Here is a 22958-nt window from a genome sequence, read left to right as displayed (position 1 = left end):
TTAGAGCAAGCTGAAAGAGGCGCATATGGGAATCATTTTTACCATATTTTTCAAATTTTAGGTCTAAAAGTATTTCCACATAAACTTAAAACACACACACAAGTAACTAAAAAATAAGAAAAAGGTAGTTTTTAAACAATTCCACAAGTTTCCTCCTATTTTGCACTTTCCTATTTCTTTCTTTCTTTTTTTTTTTTTTTTCAGATGGAATCTTGCTCTATCACCCAGGCTGGAGTGCAGTGGTATGATGATCTCGGCTCACTGCAACCTCTGCCTCCCAGGTTCACGCCATTCTCCTGCCTCAGCCTCCCAAGTGGCTGGGACTACAGGCACCCGCCACCACGCCTGACTAATTTTTTTGTATTTTTTTAGTAGAGACGGGGTTTCACCATGTTAGCCAGGATGGTCTCGATCTCCTGACCTCGTGATCCACCCGTCTCAGCCTCCCAAAGTGCTGGGATTATAGGCATGAGCCACCGCACCCAGCTACCTTTTCCTATTTCTAATTCTTATCTCTATTAAAGACAATCATAGCTCCCATTATGTAGAGTGTAATCACTAATTTGCTCAGTTCTAGAATACAAAGAAGGCATCTTAAAAATTGACTGTGCATTTCTTCATGAATGTGAAATCCAGGGACCAGGATTCTCTATTTTTTAAGTCCTTGGTTTCTCTTTAAACTGAGGGTGAAGAGTTCAAGTTCTCAAGTCCAAAATTACTTATGTTAGTAAATAACCTCATTCCATTTCAGCATGGCTATTATGTTCATTTAAATGCATTTTAGAAGGCATCTCTGTTTATGGCATCACAAAGAGTTTAATAAATCTTCTGTGCAAAAATAAATAACAAACACACATATAAAGCTAAAATATCAAAACTATTTCAGCACTCTGAAAATTGGTGAAGCATAAAATAATTAAAGATGTATATTCTTTATAGAAAAAAAAGTACTAGTGCTTTGAGTAAGGACAGAAAAAGTCTGTAGCCTTTTGCCTGTGACAGCACCCTTCTACCCCCAGCTCAGTCAGCATGAAATACAGAACTGGAGTTTTACCAATATGAGGATAGCAAATAAAGCTAGCAGCTTGCTGCCAAAGCGGGTGAACTTGAGTAAAGCCAAGGAATGAAGTAAAATTCTTCAGTGTTTCCAGCTAAACATGCAGAACTCCATAGGGAATGAACAGAAAAAGCCCACAGCTTTGTTAGTCAAAGATGATGCCCTGTTTGGGGCAAGTAGTACACCTGCTAACAGTAAATAGCAGATTCCTGGGTAAGATAGAGCCATATTGCTGAAACAATCTCTACACACATTCCTGGTGACTTAGAAGCTATAGATATGAGTGATGAGACCCAGAAGTGCCCGGTGCAAAGTAAAACCAGAGGGAGGTAAGAACTAGCTGCATTTTGCAGGAGCTTTTTAAACTACACACAGATGGATTGACAGAAGATAGATTTATAACCTCCAGATATTTGAGCAAAACTTCTTCTCAAATCATTGGTGACCACTAAGCTGTGCAGATACATGTGCAGTTTCTATAAATTCAAACTAAATATTAAGAATAAAAAGCAGAGATATCAGTGGTCAAACACCATATGAGATATAGATTTTTCAATATCATGCATTGAAAATACATTTAATATATGTAATCCACTAGCTCAGCCTATTCTATCCTAAATGTGCTCAGTACACTTACATTAGTTTACAGTAGGGCAACATTATCTAACACAAACCTTATCTTACAACAAAGTGTTGAATATCTCATGCAATTTATTGAATACTCTATTGAAAGAGAAGATAGAATAGTTGTATAAATACTAGAAGTACTATTTCTACTTGAATGCATATCACTTTCACACCATCTGAAAGTCAAAAAATGATAACTCCAACTATCATAAGTCAGGTACCAGAAGTAAGTTCTGACAAGTAACTAAGAAAAAAATTTTAAAATGCTCAGAAAAATGAAACCAGTTCCAGGCCTGACATGGTAGCTCAAGCCTGTAATCCCACTACTTTAGAGCCTGATGCAGAAGGATTACATGAAGCCAGGAGTTCAAGACCAGGCTGGCCAAAATAGTGACACCCTTATCTCTACAAATTTTTTTTTTTAAATAGCAGAGAGTGGTGGCATGCACCTATAGTCCCAGCTACTCAGGAGGATGAAGCTGGAGGATCACTGGAGCCCAAGAGGTTGACGCTGCAGCGAGCTATGATCACACCACCACACTCCAGCCTGGGTGACAGAGTGAGACCCTGTTTCTAAAAAAATTAAAATTAAAATAAAAACCCCACAATCTAAAGAGAGGTACTATAATATATTATCAAAAGTGTGCAGCTTTCAGTTTTAAAAAATCCTGAAAAAAAAACAGAGGAGTATGATTTATATTGAAGGAACAAAGTAAAGCAACTACAATAATGACAACAGAAAATAGCCAATGAAAGCTGATTCTAACTTGTCCTCATTATTGGCTTTAGCAAAGACTACAAAGCAGTTAATATGCAGATGTTCAAATAATTATTTTTAAAACTATGATCATTGACATAAAAACGAAAATATTTTTAAAAAGAAGATTCAGCAAGTAGGACCTCAAGAAAAGAAATGGAAAGTATAAAAAATGACCAAATGGGAACTCTAGAAATGAAAAGTACCATAATACAATTTAAATATTTATTAGCTAGGTCTAATAGCAAATTGAGATGACAGAACAATCAGTTAACTTGAAAATAGAGGAATGGAAATGTTTGAGCCTAAAGAAAATGTTTAGAAAAAAAGGAAGAAATGTCAGAGATTTATAGCTCAGAGTGAAGGATACCAACAAATGTATAATGAGAGTCACAAAGAAGGAGAGACAGAGAAAGTGGCTGAAAAAATATTTGGAGATACAATGACAAAAACTTTTCAAAAGTAATAAAAAATATTCTTAGATGAAATAATTCAATAAAACCCTTTTAGATAGTCAATAGAAATTAATAAGTGAACACACTATATTAAAATGTTGAAAGACAAAGAAAAAATCTTCATTGCATCAGAATAAAAGCAGACACTATATACAGAGACACAACAACGTAGCCATTGGCTAAGTTTTCATCGGGACCAATAGAGGCTAGAAGCAGTAAAATGACATATTTAAATGCTGAAAAGGAAAAAAAAGAAGGCAGCCAGGAAATCTATCCAGTGAAAATATCCTTCAAATCTAACAAAAAGGCAAAAAAAAAAATTTTGGTAAACAAAATACATTCATTCATAGCAGCTATGTCTTATAAAACATTTGAGAGAAAATCCTTCAGAATCACAGGAAATGACATCAGACAGGACCTTGAGTCCACTGGAAGAAATGAAGGCCTCAAAAGTAGTAAGGAATAATACCAAGACTAAAAAGATAAAAATACACATAATGCTATTTATATGAAGTTTAAGACAGGAAAACCTAAATGATTGTGTAGATGTCAGAAAGACAGTTACTTTTGCTGGGTGGGAAGGGTGACAACTAGCAAAGGTTGTCCACGAGGGAAGCACAAGAGAATGTGAAAGCACAGCTCCACCTCTGGCCCATTCTTTTGGAAGAGCCCAGATTCATAGGGCAGGTAACATCTATGGAAGACTCATGAATGACATGATTGATGGGTATTTAGCAGAAAACAAGTTGTATGTATCACATACTGTTCTATGCAGAGAGTACAATACATGTGAGTGAGAGAGTCCCTCTAGCAAAGAAAAGAAGTATGAACTAGACCTTCAGAATATTAGTTTTTAGAGTTCATCAGTTTTTAGAGTTTTTAGAGTTCATCAGAAGAACACAGATCAAGGTGTCCTCTCATCTGGGCATGGGAAAGCAAACTGACTGCAGGTTCTCCCTAGATCAGTGGCCCGTGGCTTTGGAGACATGTACATTAAACTCACATTTGTTCACATCCACAGTCACTTCCTGGCTTTACCATAGGAATGATGGTCTGGCTACCCAGTTACTTAGGAACTGTGCACACAGGCTGTCAGTTACTAAAACAATTAAAAACAGTGACTTTGCTTAAATATGTATCAGTAGTTACATTCTGCAGGGAAAAATGAGCAGAGGGGATATATTTTAATACCAAATGAAAAATCACAACCTTGTGACTTCTTTCTCTCCCCATATAATTCGTTATGCTTGTGCTGAAACTTCAGAGTATCAAATGAGCCCCATATATTCATCCCTAAATCTTTGTCCTTGTCCAACCTGAGCCCATGTTTGGGCCATCCACTGGCATCCGAGTACACTTGTGAGATGAGCAGTGTCCAGAGGGCATTGCTAGGGCGATTCACAGGCAGCTCCATGCAGTCTCTCCCCTCGAACTCCCAGCATCACTAACCCTGAAGGAGTGTCCTCCTGTCCTCCTCAGCACCCAGAGCACAGCCTGCCCTGCTGTGATTTCCCTGCCCAGCTTACAATCTCAGCATAGATTCCACTGGCTCAAAGACAAAGTCAGGTCCCAGGCAGAGACTGCTGTGGGGGCCTAATTAAAACCATCTTTTCATCAATTTTTCTGTTAGAAATTTGCAGACATTTTCACCATATTAAAAAATTATTTTCATTAGTGCTGATCTAAATGGTTACAGTTAGACCCTCACAGTGTTATAGCTCAGAGCACAAACCTCAGCAGCTGTTAGTCCAGAGAATCAGGTGGTCTCAGATGCTTGCTGGCTGGTGCAGCCACTGTTTCAACAATGGGAGGAATGAAGCTGAGTAGACAGATCCAGACCAGGGGCCCTCTACTCCCGACCCTAGCCCTGGACATTGTGCTCTGCAGGGCCCCTCACAACCTCACTCTCTCTTTCCCAGAACCACATTGTTGGCATCTCACATGGATCACAGAATTTAACACCTGATTGTTTTGTGACCATCTTTTCTCAACTCTTTATCTTCAACTAGGTGACTGGTTTATTGAGGAGAGGAATCGTTTTGTATTCCCTACAGAATGCAGCCTATTGATGGATGTAATAAGATCAACTCCATGAAAACCCATGAAAAAACTCCATCAAGTCTCACTGGAAACCAGCATCTAAAATTCTATAAGATGTTATGTCACAAACCTGCCATTGGGTGGTATGTCACAAACCTGGCCATTGGACAAACCCCATAATAAACACAAAATAGAAGCCTGATCTTAGAAATAGTGAAATTAAGGGTGATGTTGTTTCATTATCAGCAGGCAGCCCCCAAGGCAGGAATGGGGTCTCATGTGTGACCTGGATCACCTGGGAGGAGCTGCCAGTGTGCTGAGTGGTGGGAAAATGCCCTCTGTGCTCTGAGACTGGAAGCCTTGCCTTGCCCTTCCTACTGCCTTGGCCATATCCTCAAAGTGCACCTGCTATGAACTGAATGGTGTTTCACAAATTCATATTTTGAATCTCCAACCTCCAATATTACTGCATTTAGACATAGAGGTTATGAAGAGGTAATTAGGGTGAAATGAGGTGAAAACATCGGGGTTCTGATTTAATAGGATTTGTGTCCTAATAAAAAGAAATATCATTGAGCTGTTACTGAACCCCTCACCAGCCTCCAAGCGTGTACTGAGTAAAGCATGCACTTGCTTCTCTTACACATGCCTGGCACATTGCTGAACACACATGAGGATGTATCCAGAGAGGACATCTGGAAACAAACAGGGTTCTCACCAGAAAGCAAATCCTTCTGGACTTTGATCTTGAACCTTCCATGGTTCTAATATATTCGCAATAAATGTCTAATAAATTAGCAATAAATGTCTGTGGTTGAAGCCCTCCAGCTCAGAGTATGATGGTGTGGCATTCTCGGCAGACTTATCCACTGTTGCCACGTTCTCTGAGCAGGATCAGCCCCAGGAGTCACCTTGTGGACTTTGGGACCCAGCTTTTCTCCTTTTGCTCCTGCTGTCCTGACTGCCTGGTGAGGAAGGGGAAGTCAGGTTTCAGCCTCAGATAGTTTGTATTAAACATGAACTTTCCTTGATGATGAATTTGTTAGACTGTTTCTCCTTCTGATCAGAATTTCATCAAGTTGGATGAAATAAAAGCTTGGTATTAATATTTGGGAATCTGCATGCTTGTTCCCCCACTTGGATGACAGTGAGCATGTTATGTGGATGCCATCTTCATCCTCTTCCTTGTCTCTCAGGTTAGAGGGTCACTGTCACCTGCAGGGCTGGCCAGAGTATGAAGAACATCCTAGCCTGGCACCAGCAGAACTGGGGCATGGCTCTGAGCTCCTGCTGGCTCCTACTGCCCTCCTGGACATGATCCCTGCCTGGGTCAGGGATAATAATGGGCCTGAACAGATGTCACTCTGGCCACTACCAACCAAGATGCCTTCAGAGGTAGGTGATCCCTCTTCCTGTCCCCTATCATGTACAAATCTTCCCTAGCAACAGCTCTACCTGGGGGCCCAGGGGTTGCTAAGGGTCTGAAATCTTCTCAGGGGAACAGGCTGGGGGACACCTCTGAATTCACATTCCCTTTTCATCTCAAACCCACTTGCCACCTCTTCTATGAACATCTCTAATGTATCTTGTGGCCATCACTGCCTGAAGCATGTCAGATGCTTTCTCCCACCTCCTTCTCTGAATTCATGATGAAAATTCATCCTCACTTCCACATGGGCTGGCCACACCTTGTTTCTCTTACATACATGCCCCGGCACGTTGCTCAACCCATAATTCTGACCCCTCTCCATGAATCTTTGTGAAACGGTCATGGTTGGCAATTTGTGGTTATTGGAGACCAGAAAGTAAAATGGTAACTATCAAGAAGCTTGTGCATGGCACTGACATAGGCCATTGTTAACAGGGTCCCAGCAGCTGGTCAGTCATGAAAGCTGGGCAGAGAGATCCCACATCACCCCAGTCAGAGGGGAAGCTGGGAATGAGCCATGGAGGGGCTTATTCCTCTGACCATGCAGCCTCTGAGCCATGTGTGCTGCTTTGCTTGACAGAAATGACCAGAAAAGGACTTGTCTGTGCTGAGCCCTGTGGACAAAACGTCCCTCCATTCAGGGTCCAAATTCACTATCCATCTCCTGGGCATCTGCTGCCCTGTGATTCTGCAGATCCCCCTCAGGTCACTCATGATCCTCAGCAATGGGTAGCTCACTGCTATCGGCCCAGGGGGCACATGGAAGAGAGTCCCGAGCTTTATGACCCTCAGGCCCTGGAGTGAGGAGGGGCCATGAGGTGGTGCACCCAGTGCTTGTTTTCAATGTTCACGTTCAATTTATTAAAGTTTAAAACTATACCTTATACTAGCAATGAAACTTGCATCTCTTTATACATAAACATGCATCACATATTTATCCACAGATACATAGTATATACAAATATATAAATATAACTTATTTCTAAAATGTATGTATTTAATATGTAAAGTTTATACTAGAAATTCATATTACAAATACACATAATTTTATGTTTATTTTTGTAGCATGTGTTCCTTTTCTTTCCAAGCAGAACAGAGTCTGGCTGAGTGAAGACCTTGAGGACATTTGCTGACCCTCCCTCTTTGGCTCCAGCAGGGTCCCAGTCATTCAGGACAAGGGAGGACACAGCTGACAGCAGCCAGCCCAGGATCCCAGCCCCAGCCCTAAGGTCTGTGTCCTGAGACTTTCACTCTTGCCAGGCTGGGGGGATATATGCTTAATGCAGCTCCCGCGAATTTGTGAGCAGTTTCCCTCCCTGAAGACCCTGCCAGGCAGCCCTGCGGCCAAGGCCTGTGGCTCATCCCAGGTTCTCAGCCCTGTGGCTCAGGAGAACAGTGGCTTCCTCCACAGACCAGGGCCAGGGCCTGGAAGCGCTCAGGCACTGCCAGCCTGACCTTAGCTCTGGGCTAAGGACCCTATTCCAAATGTCTCCTCATTTATCGAAGTACCTGAAAATCTGTCTGGTTCTTAAACTCAAAGTATGACTTGAGTTGAGGTATACTCACTCCACTGTCTCTAATGTAGATTTATAGATGTGTAGAGAGTTTTAGAGGATTTTTAACTTTTGTGACCCAGTGTAAACAAAACAGTATCTGAGACAGGTCTCAATCAATGTATAGGTTTATTTTGCCAAAGATAAGGCTTATGGCCTGTGACACAGCTTTAGGAGGCCCTGCAAATATGTGCCCAAGGTGGCTGGATTACACGTTGGTTTTATACATTTTAGGGAGACACAAAAATTACAGGGAAAGACCTAAGTCAGTACATATAAGATATACATTAGTTTGTCCTGGAAAGGTGGGATATCTTGAAGCAGGGGCTTCCAGGTCACAGGTGGCTTCAAAGTTTTCCTGATTGGCAACTGGTTGAAAGAGTTAAGCTCTGCCTAAAGAGTTGAATTCATCATAAAGAAATCCTTGAGTTTAGATAAGGGGGTGTGGAAGTCAAGGTTCTTGTCACTTAGATGAACCTTGCAGGTAACAGTAAAGTAGATGGTGAATGTTGCTTATCAGACCTTTAAAGAAATGTCCAACTCTTTGGAAAAGACATAGTAAGAGGAGGAGATGCTCTGCAGAATGCAAATTTCCCCCATAACAGGCAGCTTTGCAGGGCCACTTCAGAATACATCAAAAAAAATATTTTTAGGGTACAATATTTAGATTTTCTTCAGGGCCTATTATCTGTCATGTTGGAGTATGGTATCTTATTGCTACAAAGCATTTGATTTGTCAGTCTAAAGATCTCTGTTGTAATGATAACACTGGTCAGTTTTGTCTGAACTCCAAAGGGAGGAGAGTATAATGAGTTACATCTAAACCCACCTGCCAGTCATGGCCTAACCTAGTTTTTCAGATTTCTTTGACGTTCTCTCTGCCAAAAGAGAAGCCCATTGAGTAGGTTGGTGGCTTACAACTTGATTTTTTGTTTTAACACACAGAAAAAAAATCACAGCGTAAATTCAATCTAAGATACATTGGTAAAAAAAAAAAAATTAGGTGCTTCCTGAATATTTGTACATATCAAAGAAAGAGAAATGGTAAGATTTCAGATGAGAAATACCCCTCATACAAAAGATTAATGACTTTTCTTTTTTACTCTCTCAGTTTGGATCCACCAGCAATAAGGATTCCTGTTAGGTAGCAAATTTATACTGGGAGGAAAGGAGGAAAGTGAGGGAGGGAACAGAAAATGAATGGTAAAAGACACATCAACAACCTACCTGACTCAGGATAACTGAAGATCAACCACATGGTCTGCTTTCTCCGCTTTCAAGATGATGCCTGGAGCGTTGAGTTCTTCAAAGGAAGGAAGGCCATGTCTTAACATGTCAGAGGAGCAGGAGAGAGATCTCAGCCCTGTAATTCCTGTTTATAGTGGCATTAATGTATTCCGCTAGAGGGCTCCAGCCTCATGACCTAAACACATCCCAATAGGCCCCACCTGGCAAAAACCATTACACTGAGAATTAACTTTACAATAGATGGATTCTGGAGGACACAGTCAAACCATAGCACTTTCCTAAGAGATACACATTCCAGGCCATCTGGCCAGCAATGCATCCAGGCAGAGTTCTCTGCCCAAGATCATAAAGAACATAAGACATATATATGGTCATTGGAAATGAGTAGAGGTACAGCAAAGGGGAAAGCCCTAGATTACAGATGGGGACTGCTACGTTCATCATGGTACAGTTAACCCTTGAATAACTTGGGTTTGAAATTTGCAGATACACTTATATTTTGTTCTGTGTGTGTCACCTGTAAGCAAATGCTTAATAAGTAGTAAATATATTTTCTCTATTTTATGGTTTCCTTAATAACATTTTTTTCTTTAGCATACTTTATTGGAATAATAGAGTATATAATATATATAACATTAAAAAACATGTTAATCAACTATTTATTTTATTGCTAAGGCTTCCAATCAAAAGCAATCTATTAGTACTTAAGTTAGGGATGCAAAAATTCTACACAGGTGCAGCCCATTTAGTCTCTGGGTATTAAAAAGACCTGTAGCTCTTGATAATGGTGGGGCTGTTAGTGCCACATGCATTGAAGAAGCACGGCATCATCTTTGTGTATCTGTAGTAAATTGTTTGATCTTATACTGGTAAGAACAATGGCATAACACCATTACCTAATACTTACAAATATATATAGCATCATGTCAATAAATTTTATTTTTAATTTTTTAGAAAGGAACAATGTTAAACTCACAGAAATGTTTCAAGTATAGCACAATTACCCCCTTCCCTAAATGGAATCTTATAACAGTCTTTTGAAGACCTGAGAATCGTACCATCTAATATGTACTGTGTTTCCTACAAACAAGAATATTCTCCAAAATAATCCCCATACACCAATGAAATATATTACCCCATTGACTCTCGAGGAATATTGTCAAAAAATATCTTTAAAATGTTTCTCATAACAAAATAGTCCCCAGTAGAAACACATTCTCTGCAGACAAATTTGTGCTACCCTGGTCTTACCTGGGACACCTGGGGACACTGAGCCGGTGCTGAGTTACTGAGATGAGCCAGCCCTGCAGCTGTGCCCAGCCTGCCCCTTCCCCTGCTCATTTGCATGTTCCCAGAGCACAGTCTCCTGACCTGAAGACTTATTAACAGGCTGATCACACCCTGTGCAGGAGTCAGACCCACTCAGGACACAGCATGGACATGAGGGTCCCCGCTCAGCTCCTGGGGCTCCTGCTGCTCTGGCTCCCAGGTAAGGATGGAGAACACTGGCAGTTTACTCAGCCCAGGGTGCTCAGCACAGCCTGGCTATTCAGGGAAATTCTCTTACTACATGATTAATTGTGTGGACCATTTGTTTTTGTGTTTCCAATCTCAGGTGCCAGATGTGCCATCCAGATGACCCAGTCTCCATCCTCCCTGTCTGCATCTGTTGGAGACAGAGTCACCATCACTTGCCGGGCAAGTCAGGGCATTAGAAATGATTTAGGCTGGTATCAGCAGAAACCAGGGAAAGCCCCTAAGCTCCTGATCTATGCTGCATCCAGTTTACAAAGTGGGGTCCCATCAAGGTTCAGCGGCAGTGGATCTGGCACAGATTTCACTCTCACCATCAGCAGCCTGCAGCCTGAAGATTTTGCAACTTATTACTGTCTACAAGATTACAATTACCCTCCCACAGTGTTACACACCCGAACAGAAACCCCCAGGGAAGCAGATGTGTGAGACTGGGCTGCCCCAGCTGCTCCTCCTGATGCCTCCATTGGCTGAGATTGTTCCTCAGATGCAGCCACACTCTGATGGTGTTGGTAGAGGGGGACACGAAGTCACCTCTGCACCCTAATTCTTTTCTCTTTCTCAGCCCCAACTGCACAGTTCTAGCAATGCCTCTCTTGATTTAATAAAGACAGAGATCATGACACCTGAAGAGTCTAGTTTATGGCTTCAGTTGGAATTCGTATAACAGAGAAGAAGCCACTATAGATATTTGAAGCAGATATAGTCTTAATACAGAGAATTAGAGTAAACTACTGAAGTCTAAATAAAATGTAGAGATGAATCTCTAAATTTAATGTTTTATTTGCAAAGAAATATTTGCCAAATGGGGCATACAGGAAAACTCAGTGGTCTTCAATATGTTGGAAGAACAAAGAGAAATTTAGCATTTTATGAAAAAGGGAAAATGTTACCTATGGCTCTTTTGAGAAAGCTCATTGGCACTAGGAAGGGTTGGGAGCTGGCAAGCTCAGACTGGTAAGCAGTGGTGGACAAAGTGAATCCTAGAATTATATCAAGTTATCTCAGAAGTTTTGGATAAATTTGATTTCAGGTTACAATAAACCAAAACGGTGAAGCTTGCAGAGAATTTTGTTACTGAAATGCCAGGGATTCGGTGTAGATCCTGCAGCTCGTCACACAGAAAGCCAATCACTAAGACAAGTATTTTCAAGGAACAGGCTTTAATCAGGTGCTGCAGCTGAGGAGATGGGATGCCATTCTCAAATGTATCTCTCTGACCAACTGAAATTAGGGGTTTATATAACAAGGAAGAAATGTGGAAAAACAGGAGTTAGGGAGGGTTAAGAAAGATAATTGGGTCAACAGGAAGCAGGAGGTCAGTTAGGCAATCATAATGGGTGAAGGGTCTGATGTCTCACTGTCCCGATTCAGTGATATATAAGTTTCAGCAAATTGATAGTATCTGGGAGGCCTGATGGTTGCTTTCCTGAAATTTAAAAAAAAAAAAAAAAAAAAAAGAAAGGTAAGATAAATGTTGCTATCTTGAGTTTTAAGACTGGAGGAGTCGATTTCTGTTTATTCAAAAAACCATAAACTTTAGTTCCATGGGATAATAGGGCCTATTTCAATTGCATTCTAGAAACAGTATTTTTCACCCTGAGTGCCTTTCCCTCCTGGTTTCTTGGCTCTGTCGGGTATCACAAGAATGACCGAATTCCTATGATTAACTTTCCCACTATGACCTTTCAAAGCCAAGGATATAGTAGTCAGGAAAGCTGATATTAGAAGCAGGAATCTCTGGTGCTCCCTCAGAAAACAGAATGCATCTGTCCCTGAAGTAAGGGCTTTCTAACCATGTGGTCCTCAGTCCTGTCTGGAAGCTTAGGGGTGGGGGTGCTGATGCTCTCAGCTTCCTACAGCATCTTTTCAGGTGTTTCTCTAGTCCTCACCTCTGTTCCTGTGTCTGCCTTAGGTACCAATGGAGAATATTGAGTCATCCTTTTCTGATTCCAAATCTCATGGGAGGACCTCTTATTGGGCAACTCTATAGGACACAAGAGAGGTAAAAAGGGATAGTTACATAAGTTAAAATGATTTTCCCCCTTTGAGGTCATTTCAAAAATTATATTTAAAAGCACATGTTGAAAACACATCCAGCTTTATTTTCTTATTAATGCAAATTTACGTTTGCAAATATTTTCAGGATTGTAAAGGTTGAAAACATAATTACTTGTCCATGGAATGATCAAACACCTCTATAATTAATTGGAGTAAACATTTTCTTGAAAATTTGTACTCACTGAAATCAAAAAATATATTTAAAATGTGTGAAGCTATGTTAGAAATTATTGGACTTAAATTCAACTGTGCAGTTCGGTTTGGGATGTTGTTCACTCCTGTGACCTGTCACAAGAATCTTGTGTCACGTGTAGTCACTGCTGTTCAGCCTCGTCCTCAGAAAATTGGTATCTGTAGGCTAAAGACAAGCTCAGTGCCCTGCGGAGGAATCAATCAGCTGAGCCCTTCCTTAATCAGCCAGATGATTGTGAACATGAGCATCCATGAAGATGAAAACAAATATTTACAGTTATCAGCCACTGAGTTGTATATTTAACCGATTATCAATCATTAATGCATAAAAGCTTACTGATACAGTATTTACACCTCTGCCTATATATAGATACATGTGTTTTTTCTTAAATTGGTGGTATAAATGTGAACATTAAGTAATCAAATTATGAAGTTATTAAGAGAAAATTAAAGATGAAATTAAAACTAATTAGTATTTCATTAAAAAATTAAAATTTACCTTATTTATGGAAAAATGTGCATATATATAAGATACATAGAAGTTAATATATATTTATTTGATAAAATGTTGGCTATAAGTATATATAGTATTCATATTTAATTATGTTTATTCTATTATATATGCAATATATACAAATTTACAAAATTATTATCTAAATTATATACATTTAAATAATTTTTTCTTGCATCTGTAAAAAAATGGTATTCTGGACCACAGATAGTTCATACTCTTGCTAAAGAAAATTTCTTTTTAGCCTTTATTTTTAAAACTTTACCAAATTGTTGTCCTTACCTAAAATATTTTTCCAAACCAGTAGATCTCCAAGGGTAGGACTACAGCAGATTTTGACTAATGTTGAATATTAATCATTGCATCCTATGAAAGTCTCCATTATGTTCATGCCCACAATGATGATATTCCAAATAGAGTTCTCACAACAATGGATGCTAGATGGCGTCACATTAGTGCCATTGTCAAGGAATCCCTGGAAATGTAAAAATCCTAACCGTGGGTAAACTGCAAGGCCTACATCTGATGATCACATTGCCACATTGCAAAGAGAACAGCAATTTAATAATATTGGTTGTTGGTTTTGACAGATCATCAGGCCTTAAAAGAAACACAACAGGATGATTGCAGACAAAGTCATTTTGGAAGAGCTATGACTAGATGTTTCAAAAATGAGCCATAATCGAAAAACATGCTTTCTCAGTGAATATTAATCCAAATGCCATTAATGAGCAGGGGGCTTTTCATAATGAGGATGATTGAACACATGGACTTCAGTCAGTCACCTTTGCCCACTTTCCCAGGTAACCTCATGAACCACTGTTACGGAGGTCCCTGTGGGGACTCAATAATATGAGTTTCAACTAACTGAGATGTACAGGGCTACTGGCTCTCTTGAACACTAATTTGCCAAGAAAATTGACCCTTCCTGAGCCCCTAACATTCTACCACACATCAGGGCTCATACTAACAGCTGATGTCAGGTGATTCAAGTGCACTTCATGTAACATGAGGAGAGCAGTGGTTATTATCCTATATATGAATTTTCCTTTGTCTTTGGTTATGTTACTGCATAAAATATTATTTGAGGATTTTCCAAATGCCTTCATCAGAGTCAGGAAGTTCTTCCATACTGTGGCTTTGGATCAAGAAGGTAATTGACTTCAAAAAAAGTGAAGTAAAGTGTAGCTCATGATCCTGTCATGTGCACAGGTGCAGCTTTCCCTATAGAAAAAAAACCCATTATTAGTCAAGCACTGCTGGCACACAAACCCTTGTGCTATTGAATTGCTATGCTGTCAGATGTGGCGGAGGGTCTACAACACTCACCGTGAATGTTGCTCTTACTCCCATAAACAGAATATTTATATCTTGTAAATGAGCTATAGAATCATCATTGTTGTGCAAACTGAACAGCTTGAAATACTCTATTTCTATTTTCTCAGGGCTGTGGTTTTCTGGCTGATGGTTCTTAATCCAAAGATTTGACATGACAATTATCTCATTAAATTGGAAGAAATAATATGATAAACATGTGCCTATTTAGACTTAATACAATACTGGATAAGTTGTCAACGCAGGGCGTTAGGGTGTGTGCTGGGGACACAGATGTAGCCCATATAAAGCAAGAGCAAATATAATTGATTTTACATATTTTAGAGAGGAAGTACAGAAAATATGGACCCTAGGGGACCTTCTGGAATCTTTCTATTTATTGCCATTTCCACTGGTAAAACTCAGAGAAGATTTCAACAGTCATGAGGATGAAGTTCTAGGGATCACAGTCATATGAAGCATTCCCTGCACTTGGATCTCCAGTGAGGCAAAGGGAAGACGAAATGCATAGTGGGATATGGACATGTAAACACCAGAGACAGCCTCCTGGTCAGCTTAAACGTTGAAAAGTGTATTTATTTTTTCTCTTTAGTTTTATCACAGAATCATTTGGATCTAAGAAAAGCGATTATGGCTGGTTAGGCAGAAAGGTGTTTATTATCATGAATTTAATGGATTGAAAACATTTGGGGAAACCAGAGTGGCAGCTCAGGCAACTCCAAGTACTCCTTTTCCTATTCCTTGACCCTTACCATCCCCATATTTTCCACAGTCAAGAAAGATACTCTCATTTTATAGGAACCTGGCAAGTGAAGATACTGTGCCCACAGGACTGTGCTGCCTGGCTGAGACCCAGACCAGGAAAATGAGCACATTTGAGTGAGATCAGGCATTTTCCCTCCCTCATCTCAATCCAAAAGCACTCTGTAGTAACACATCTGATGGGCAGTCAGAGAAAGGGGTCAGATCTCTCGTAGTTGATAGCAGAGCGGCTGTCCTTCTGGGGGCAGTAGTGAGAAGAGCTGCTCTCTTTTCTGCAGGAGACAGCTTGAATGTTGTGGAGTCTCAGGCAGGAGGAGCTCCTCCCCAGCCTGTGCCAGCAGTGCCATTCTTGGAATTGTTCTAGAGGCTTTGCCTGGAGCCTGTTCCTTAAGGCTTTTCAACAATTTGCAAGGAATTTAATATCCTCTAGTAAATCCCTTTATGCTTCACGAATTTGACATTTGCAACAGGGAATATACACAGTCCACAGTGACATCATTCACTGCCTCCTTTTTTCTTGCTAAATATAATGCTTTCCAGGTGGACCTGCCAGAGGAAGCCAATGTGAATAACAATCCATGTCACCAAAAATGCAAGACAAATAAGCTGGGTAAAGCCACTGGGTTCTCACATAGCTGCACTGTCCCCCGGTACAAAATGGGAGAGTGTAAAACTCTTAGCTCCACCATCAGAGAGATGGTGCAGTGTGACCTTCTCAGCATAGTAAGTCAGTATTTATAGACATTTAAATACTAACAACTTTAATACCAAAATACAGGCAAAAGTAGAAAAGAAGATAAATTGGACTTCATAAAAATGTAAAATGGGCATCAAAAGACATAATCAACACAGTGAAAATGCAACATGTGGAATAGAAGAAAACATTTGTAAATCTTATATTTGATAAGGGGTTAATAATATCTACTATACAAAAATAAGTCTTATATGTGAACCTTAAAATAAAATACCTGATTAAAAATGAGGAAAGTACATGAATCGACATTTCTCTAAAGAAGATTCTATAGAGATAATTAGAAAACTAGCATAGGAAAACATGGTCAACATTATTAATCCTTAGAAAAATAAAAACAAAACCCACCTCACACCTATTAGGATTTTTTTTCCAACAGAAAATGACCAGTCTTGGTGAGAACTTAGGGAACTGGAACTCCTGTGGACACTGTCGTGGTGATGTAAATGGCCCACCTGCTGTGGGAAACCAGATGGCAATTCCTCGAAGAATTAAAAATAGAAATACTATATAATTCAGCAATTCCACTTTTGGACATATACCCAAGTAACTGAAGACATTAACTTGAGGATATATTTGTATATCCACATTCAGAACCGAATTATTCACAATAGCCAAAAGGTAGAAGCAACTCAAATGTTCACAAAGGAGGGAACTGGTAATCCAAATGTGGTATATACATACAGTAGCATATTGTAGCTTTAAAAAGGCAAAATTAGCTTTAAAAAGGGAAATTCTGACACATGCTACAACTTGGATGAAACTAGAGGACATTACACTAAGTGAAATAAGCCAGTCACAAAACGATTACTGAGTTATGATTTCACTACAGTATTTGCAGAACAGGTTCCATTTTGCCTTGAATGATCCCAGTCTCCTTCCCTTTCTTGCTTGTAGTTTTCAGGAATAACTGTAGAAGTTTCTGGAAATGTAACATTCTGAGATAAAGCAAGACTGGCCAGAACACGATTGGCCAGATATTGCAAGATTGACTCCATTTCTGTCCTATTAGAGGAATTTCTTCAACACTCTAGGCAACAATGTGGAGAAAAGTTGAATTGTGAGTCATGCTTGGTTAAACACAAATATCAAGAATGGGCGAGGAAGGCATGATATTTTATAAAATAGTTTTCTTTGGGTGTTTCTGAGCTTTTTAAGAGTATTTTGAAATATACTGTTTTTAATCTTTATTCCACATATTCCATGAATGTGCTCAAAACTTCCCCAGCAGGACCAGCTTAAAATATCAAACCTTAAGGAAAAGAACATTGTAATTAATCATATTTGGACCTTATATTGGATGCCTGCCTGAGATCACTCATCAGCTCCCCCTTGCTTCTAAGGACTGAATCACCAACCAATCCAGCAATCCCCACCTTTCTTCCTCCTGTGTTTTAATACAATTAATCATAACTGTACACTTTACATGCAAACTGTGTTTATTCAACATCATAATAATGCTTGTTACTTTTGTCAATATGTTTCCCCATGTCCAATTAATCATTTTCAACTGTAAAAGTAGTTTAGTATCCTTAGTTGAGGTGATTGCACCATATTTATTCTAATTAAAAAAAGAAGCATATAGTTGCTTTTAAGGGATTTTAACTTAATGTCAGAGTTTTCAGAACTAATAAATGCTATCATTTAAGGTTTAGTGCATGTAAGTAAATAAAACAATTTTTGATCGCAAATACTGATACTCAGTAGGGGAATGAGCCATGCACAGAATAATAACTACATAATGAAATGGAATAGAATACTTTCAGTGTTGATAAATTGCATAAAAATCAGCCAATGGTATGTGGTATCTGGAGGTTGAAGTTGCTCATCTATGTTAATCGGGGAAGATCTTAGGGTTGTGCTGTAGATGCATCTGATCGGTAAGGAGGCCACCAAGTGACCATACAACCTGCAAAGACTACAGAATCATCACGGGAAGGGCAGGGGCTGGGAGATTCCTGATAAACCACTGCGCATTGAAAAATTTATTTTTACCACTTTAGTGGTATAAAACCCAAACAGTCCTATAATAATCAGATGCCTTCTGTGTTTTTATTTTCTTAAGAAAATAATTTATTGTAATATCTTTTATCAAACACCTTGACCTGGATCACACCTAGGACATACAATGTTCCCTTGCTCAGAAGCTGGAAGCCCAAGTCTGCACCCTTATTGCTAGTTGGCAGGCTCCCCAAAGCTCTTCCCTGCCACTCAAGCCTTCATCACTGGGTCCTGTAGGGTGGGATCACCGAAGGCAGAGGCAACACTGGACACTGGACATGGGGCTCTGGCTTCAACTGCGTGGGCTGCATGTGACAGGGTTCATATGTCCCATGGGACTGAGAAAGACTATTGATTAGGGAGCACAGCATTCACCTCCCACTTGATCAGACAGCACCTCTCTGCTGGGAAGCCTATGGAGAGGGACATGAGTAATACTAAGGAAGATCTATGTTCTGTTTCCACTGCAGCTTCCAGGAGAAACACTCAGCTCCCCAGTCGCTAGCTTCAATGTCAGTGTCTTCAAGACAGAGAGTTTACATCATTCACCTGGAGGAAGCAGAATCTGGGTTCCAAAGATCCACCTACGTGCTCTTTCCACCTTGTCCACTCCAGCTTGGTGCAATGGTCCTGGGATCATCTTTGCTTAACATTTAGCAGATTGGTTGTCCTGATGACATTGCTGTTTATTACCATCTAAAACTTCCCTGACTCACATGGCCAACATTAGCAGTACCCAGCCACAAACATGTATATTGGAATTAATTAAAATTAACAATATAGTTCCTTAGTTGTTTTCACTACATTTCAAGTGTTCAGGAGTCACATATGACATATAACGGCTACACTTGCAAAGCATAGATATAGACATTTTCACCATCTTAAAAATTATTTTCATTAGTGCTAATCTAAATGGTTACAGTTAGAGACTCACAGTGTTATAGCTCACAGCACAAACCTCAGCAGCTATTATTCCAGAGAATCAGGTGGTCTCAGATGCTTCCTGGCTGGTGCAGCCACTGTTTCACGAATGGGAGGAATGAAGCTGGGTAGACAGATCCAGACCAGGGGCCCTCTACTCGCCACCCTAGCCTTGGGCATTATGTGCTGCAGGGTATCTCACAACCTCACCTTCTGCTTTCCAGAATCACATCATTGGCATCTCACATGGATCACAGAATCTAGCCCCTAATTGTTTTGTGACCATCTTTTCTGAACACCCTTTATCTTCAACTAGGTGACTGGTTTATTGAGGAGAGGAATCATTTTGTGTTCCCTACAGAATGCAGCATAATGGTGGATGTAATAAGATCAACTCCATGAAAACCCATGAAAAAACTCCATCAAGTCTCACTGGAAACCAGCATCTAAAATTCTATAAGATGTTATGTCACAAACCAAACATTGGAGGTTATGTTACAAACCTGGCCATTGGACAAACTCCATAATAAACATAAAATAGAAGTCTGATCTTAGAAATAGTGAAAATTAAGGGTGATATTGTTCCATTATCAGCAGGCAGCCCCCAAGGCGGGAATGGCGTCTCATGTGTGACCTGGATCACCTAAGAGGAGCTGCCAGTGTGCTGAGTGGTGGGAAAACGCCTTCTGTGCTCTGAGACTGGAAGCCTCGCCTTGCCCTTCCTACTGCCTTGGGCATGTCCTCAAAGCACACCTGCTATGAACTGAATTGTGTTTCACAAATTCATATTTTGAATCTCCAACCTGCAAAATTACTGTATTTAGACATAGAGGTTATGAAGGGGTAATTAGGGTGAAATGAAGTGAAAACCTTGGGGCTCTGATTTAATAGGATTTGTGTCCTAGTAAAAATAAACATCATCGATCTGTTCCTTAACCCCTCACCAGCCTCCAAGCATGCACTGAAGAAAGCATGTACTTGCTTCTCCTACTTACACATGCCCGGCACATTGCTGAACACACGTGAGGATGTATCCAGGGGTGACATCTGAAAACAAGAAGCAGGGTTCTCACCAGAAAGCAAATCCTTCTGGACTTTGATCTTGAACTTTCCAGGGTTCTAATACATTCACAATAAACGTTTAATAAATTAGCAATAAATGTCTATGGCTCAAGCCATCCAGCTCAGGGTATGTTGGTGTGGGAGTCCCAGAAGACTCATCCACTGTCACCACCTTCTCTAAGCAGGATCAGTCTCAGGAGGCACCTTGTGGACTTTGGGACCCAGCTTTTCTCCTTTTGCTCCTGCTGTCCTGACTGCCTGGTGAGGAAGGGAAACTCAGGCTTCAGCCTCAGATAGTTTGTATTAAACATGAACTTTCCCTGCTGATGAAGTTGTTAGCCTGTTTTTCCTTCTGATCAGAATTGCACCAAGTTGGAGGAACTACAAACTCGGTATTAATATTTGGGGATCTGCATGTTTGTTCCCCCACTTGGATGACAGTGAGCATGTTATGTGGATGCCATCGTTGTCCTCCTCCTTGTGTCTCAGGGGAGAGGGTCACTGTCACCTGTAGAGCTGGCCAGAGTATGAAGAACATCCTAGCCTGGCACTAGCAGAACCAGGGCCTGGCTCTGAGCTCCTGCTGCCCTCCTGGACATGATCCCTGCCTGGGTCAGGGACAGTAGGCCTGAAAAGATGTCATTCTGGCCAACAGCAACCAAGATGCCATCACAGGTAGGTGCTCCCTCCTCCTATCCCTGTCCTGCACAAATCTTCCATAGCAACAGCTCTGCCTGGGGTCCCAGGTGTTGTTAAGGGTCTGATCTCTTTTCAGGTGAACAGTCTGGAGACACCTGTAAATTCACACTCCCTCTTTTTCTCACACCCCCTTCCCACCTCCTCTGTGGGCGCTTCTAGTGTATCTTGTGGGCATCACTGCCTGGAGCATGTCAGGATGTTTTCTTCCACCTCCTACTCCGAATTCATGGTGAAAATTCATCCTCACTTCAGACATGGGCTGGCCACACCTTGTTTCTCTTATATACATGCCCTGGCACATTGCTGAACCCATAGTTCCAACCCCACTCCATCAATTTTTGTGGAAGGGTCATGGCTGGCAATTTGTGGTTATTGGAGACCAGTAAGTAAAATGACAACTATTGAGAAGTTTGTGCGTGGGACAGATGTAGACCACTGTCAACAGAGTCCCAGCAGCTGGTGAGCCATGAAAGTGGGGCAGAGAGATCCCACATCACCCCAGTCAGAGGGGAAGCTGGCAATGACTCATGGAGGTGCTTCATCCTGTGATCATGCAGCCTCTGAGCTACATGTGCTGTTTTGTTTGACAGAAATGACCAGAAGAGTACTTGTCTATGCTGAGCCCTGTGATCAAAATGTCCCTCCATTCAGGGTCCAAACTATCAATCTTCTGGGCATCTGCTGCTCTGTGATTCTGCAGATCCCCCTCAGGTCACTCATGATCCTCAGCAATGGGTAGTTCACTGCTGTCCATGCCGGGGGACATGGAAGAGGGTCCTGAGCTTTATCACCCTTAGGCCCTGGAGTGAGGAGGGCCATGAAGTGGTGCACCCAGTGCTCATTTTCAATGTTCGTGTTTACTTTATTAAAGTTTAAAACTATACCTTATACTAGCAACCAAAGTTATATATCTTTATATATAAACATGTACCACATATTTATCCATAAATAGACACATAGTATAGGCAAATGTATAAGTACAACTTATTTCTAAAATATATGTATTCAATATGTAAAATTTATATTAGAAATTCTTATTACAGATACACATGATTTTATGTTTATTTGTATACCATGTGTTCATTTTCTTTCCAAGCAGAACAGGGTCTGGCTGAGTAAAGACTTTGAGGACATTGGCCGACCCTCCATTTTTGGCTCCAGCAGGGTGCCAGTCATTCAGGACAAGGGAGGGCAGAGCCGACAGCAGCCAGCCCAGAATCCCAGCCCCAGCCCTAAGGTCTGGGTCTCTGAGACTTTCACTCTTGCCAGGCTGCGGGATATATGCTTAATGCAGCTCCTGTGAATTTGTGAGCAGTTTCCTTCCCTCAAGCCCCTGCCAGGCAGCCCTGTGGCCAAGGCCTGTGGTTGCTCCCAGGTCCTCAGCCCTGTGGCTCAGGAGAACTGCTGCTTCCCTCACAGCCCAGGGCCAGCGCCTGGAAGCTCTCAGGCACTGCCAGTCTGACTTTAGCCCTAGACTAAGGACTCTATTCCAAATGTCTCCTCAATTATTGCAGTACCTGAAACCTGTTCTTAAACTCAAAGTCCACATTTCCACAATTGATAAAGCTAGCATTTGGCATCTGGAAAAGTAGAAATGTGAATTAATTGTCATTCTCAGAGCCTGGTCTCTTCCAGCCCCACCAGATAAAGTTGCCCCATGTTCTCTTCTCTCCACAGAACTTTGCTTAGAATTTTAGGGAAATGTAAAATGCGGTAAAGCTCTTATTGCCTGCACAGAAATCATCCTCTTCTCCTTTGGTGCTTAGGGCACCAGCTCTAGCCTGCTGGGCATGGTGAGGACAGTGAGCCTCTCCCAGCCTGGGACAGGAGCAGGGATTAAGGGCACATGTGATTAGCTCCACAATGCAATGTCAGGGGGGTGAAGGAGGGGCAGGGACTCTGGGAAGAATTTGATCCTTCCTAAGAAGATGGAAGGTGAAGAGCTTTTCTTCACCTTGTAAAAT

At 40.9% G+C, this 22958-nt stretch overlaps 1 gene segment (V, D, J or C) and 1 further gene, besides 2 other annotated features; one reads left to right on the top strand and one right to left on the bottom strand.

Moving 5' to 3' along the window:
* The window catches only part of IGK (immunoglobulin kappa locus), a 1378008-nt gene that overhangs the window by 1258030 nt on the left and 97020 nt on the right, over nucleotides 1–22958 (bottom strand).
* Nucleotides 10601–10655: a sequence feature (IGKV1-6 leader sequence).
* On the top strand, nucleotides 10601–11077 carry IGKV1-6 (immunoglobulin kappa variable 1-6). The segment is given in 2 exon segments: nucleotides 10601–10655; nucleotides 10782–11077. Coding segments are annotated over 2 exon segments (351 nt in total), but the record flags the coding sequence as incomplete, so codon positions are not given.
* Nucleotides 10782–10792: a sequence feature (IGKV1-6 leader sequence).

This window comes from Homo sapiens, chromosome 2 (genome assembly GCF_000001405.40).
Source record: "Homo sapiens chromosome 2, GRCh38.p14 Primary Assembly".
Lineage (NCBI taxonomy): Eukaryota > Metazoa > Chordata > Mammalia > Primates > Hominidae > Homo > Homo sapiens.
This window is presented reverse-complemented; position numbering and strand designations above follow the sequence as displayed.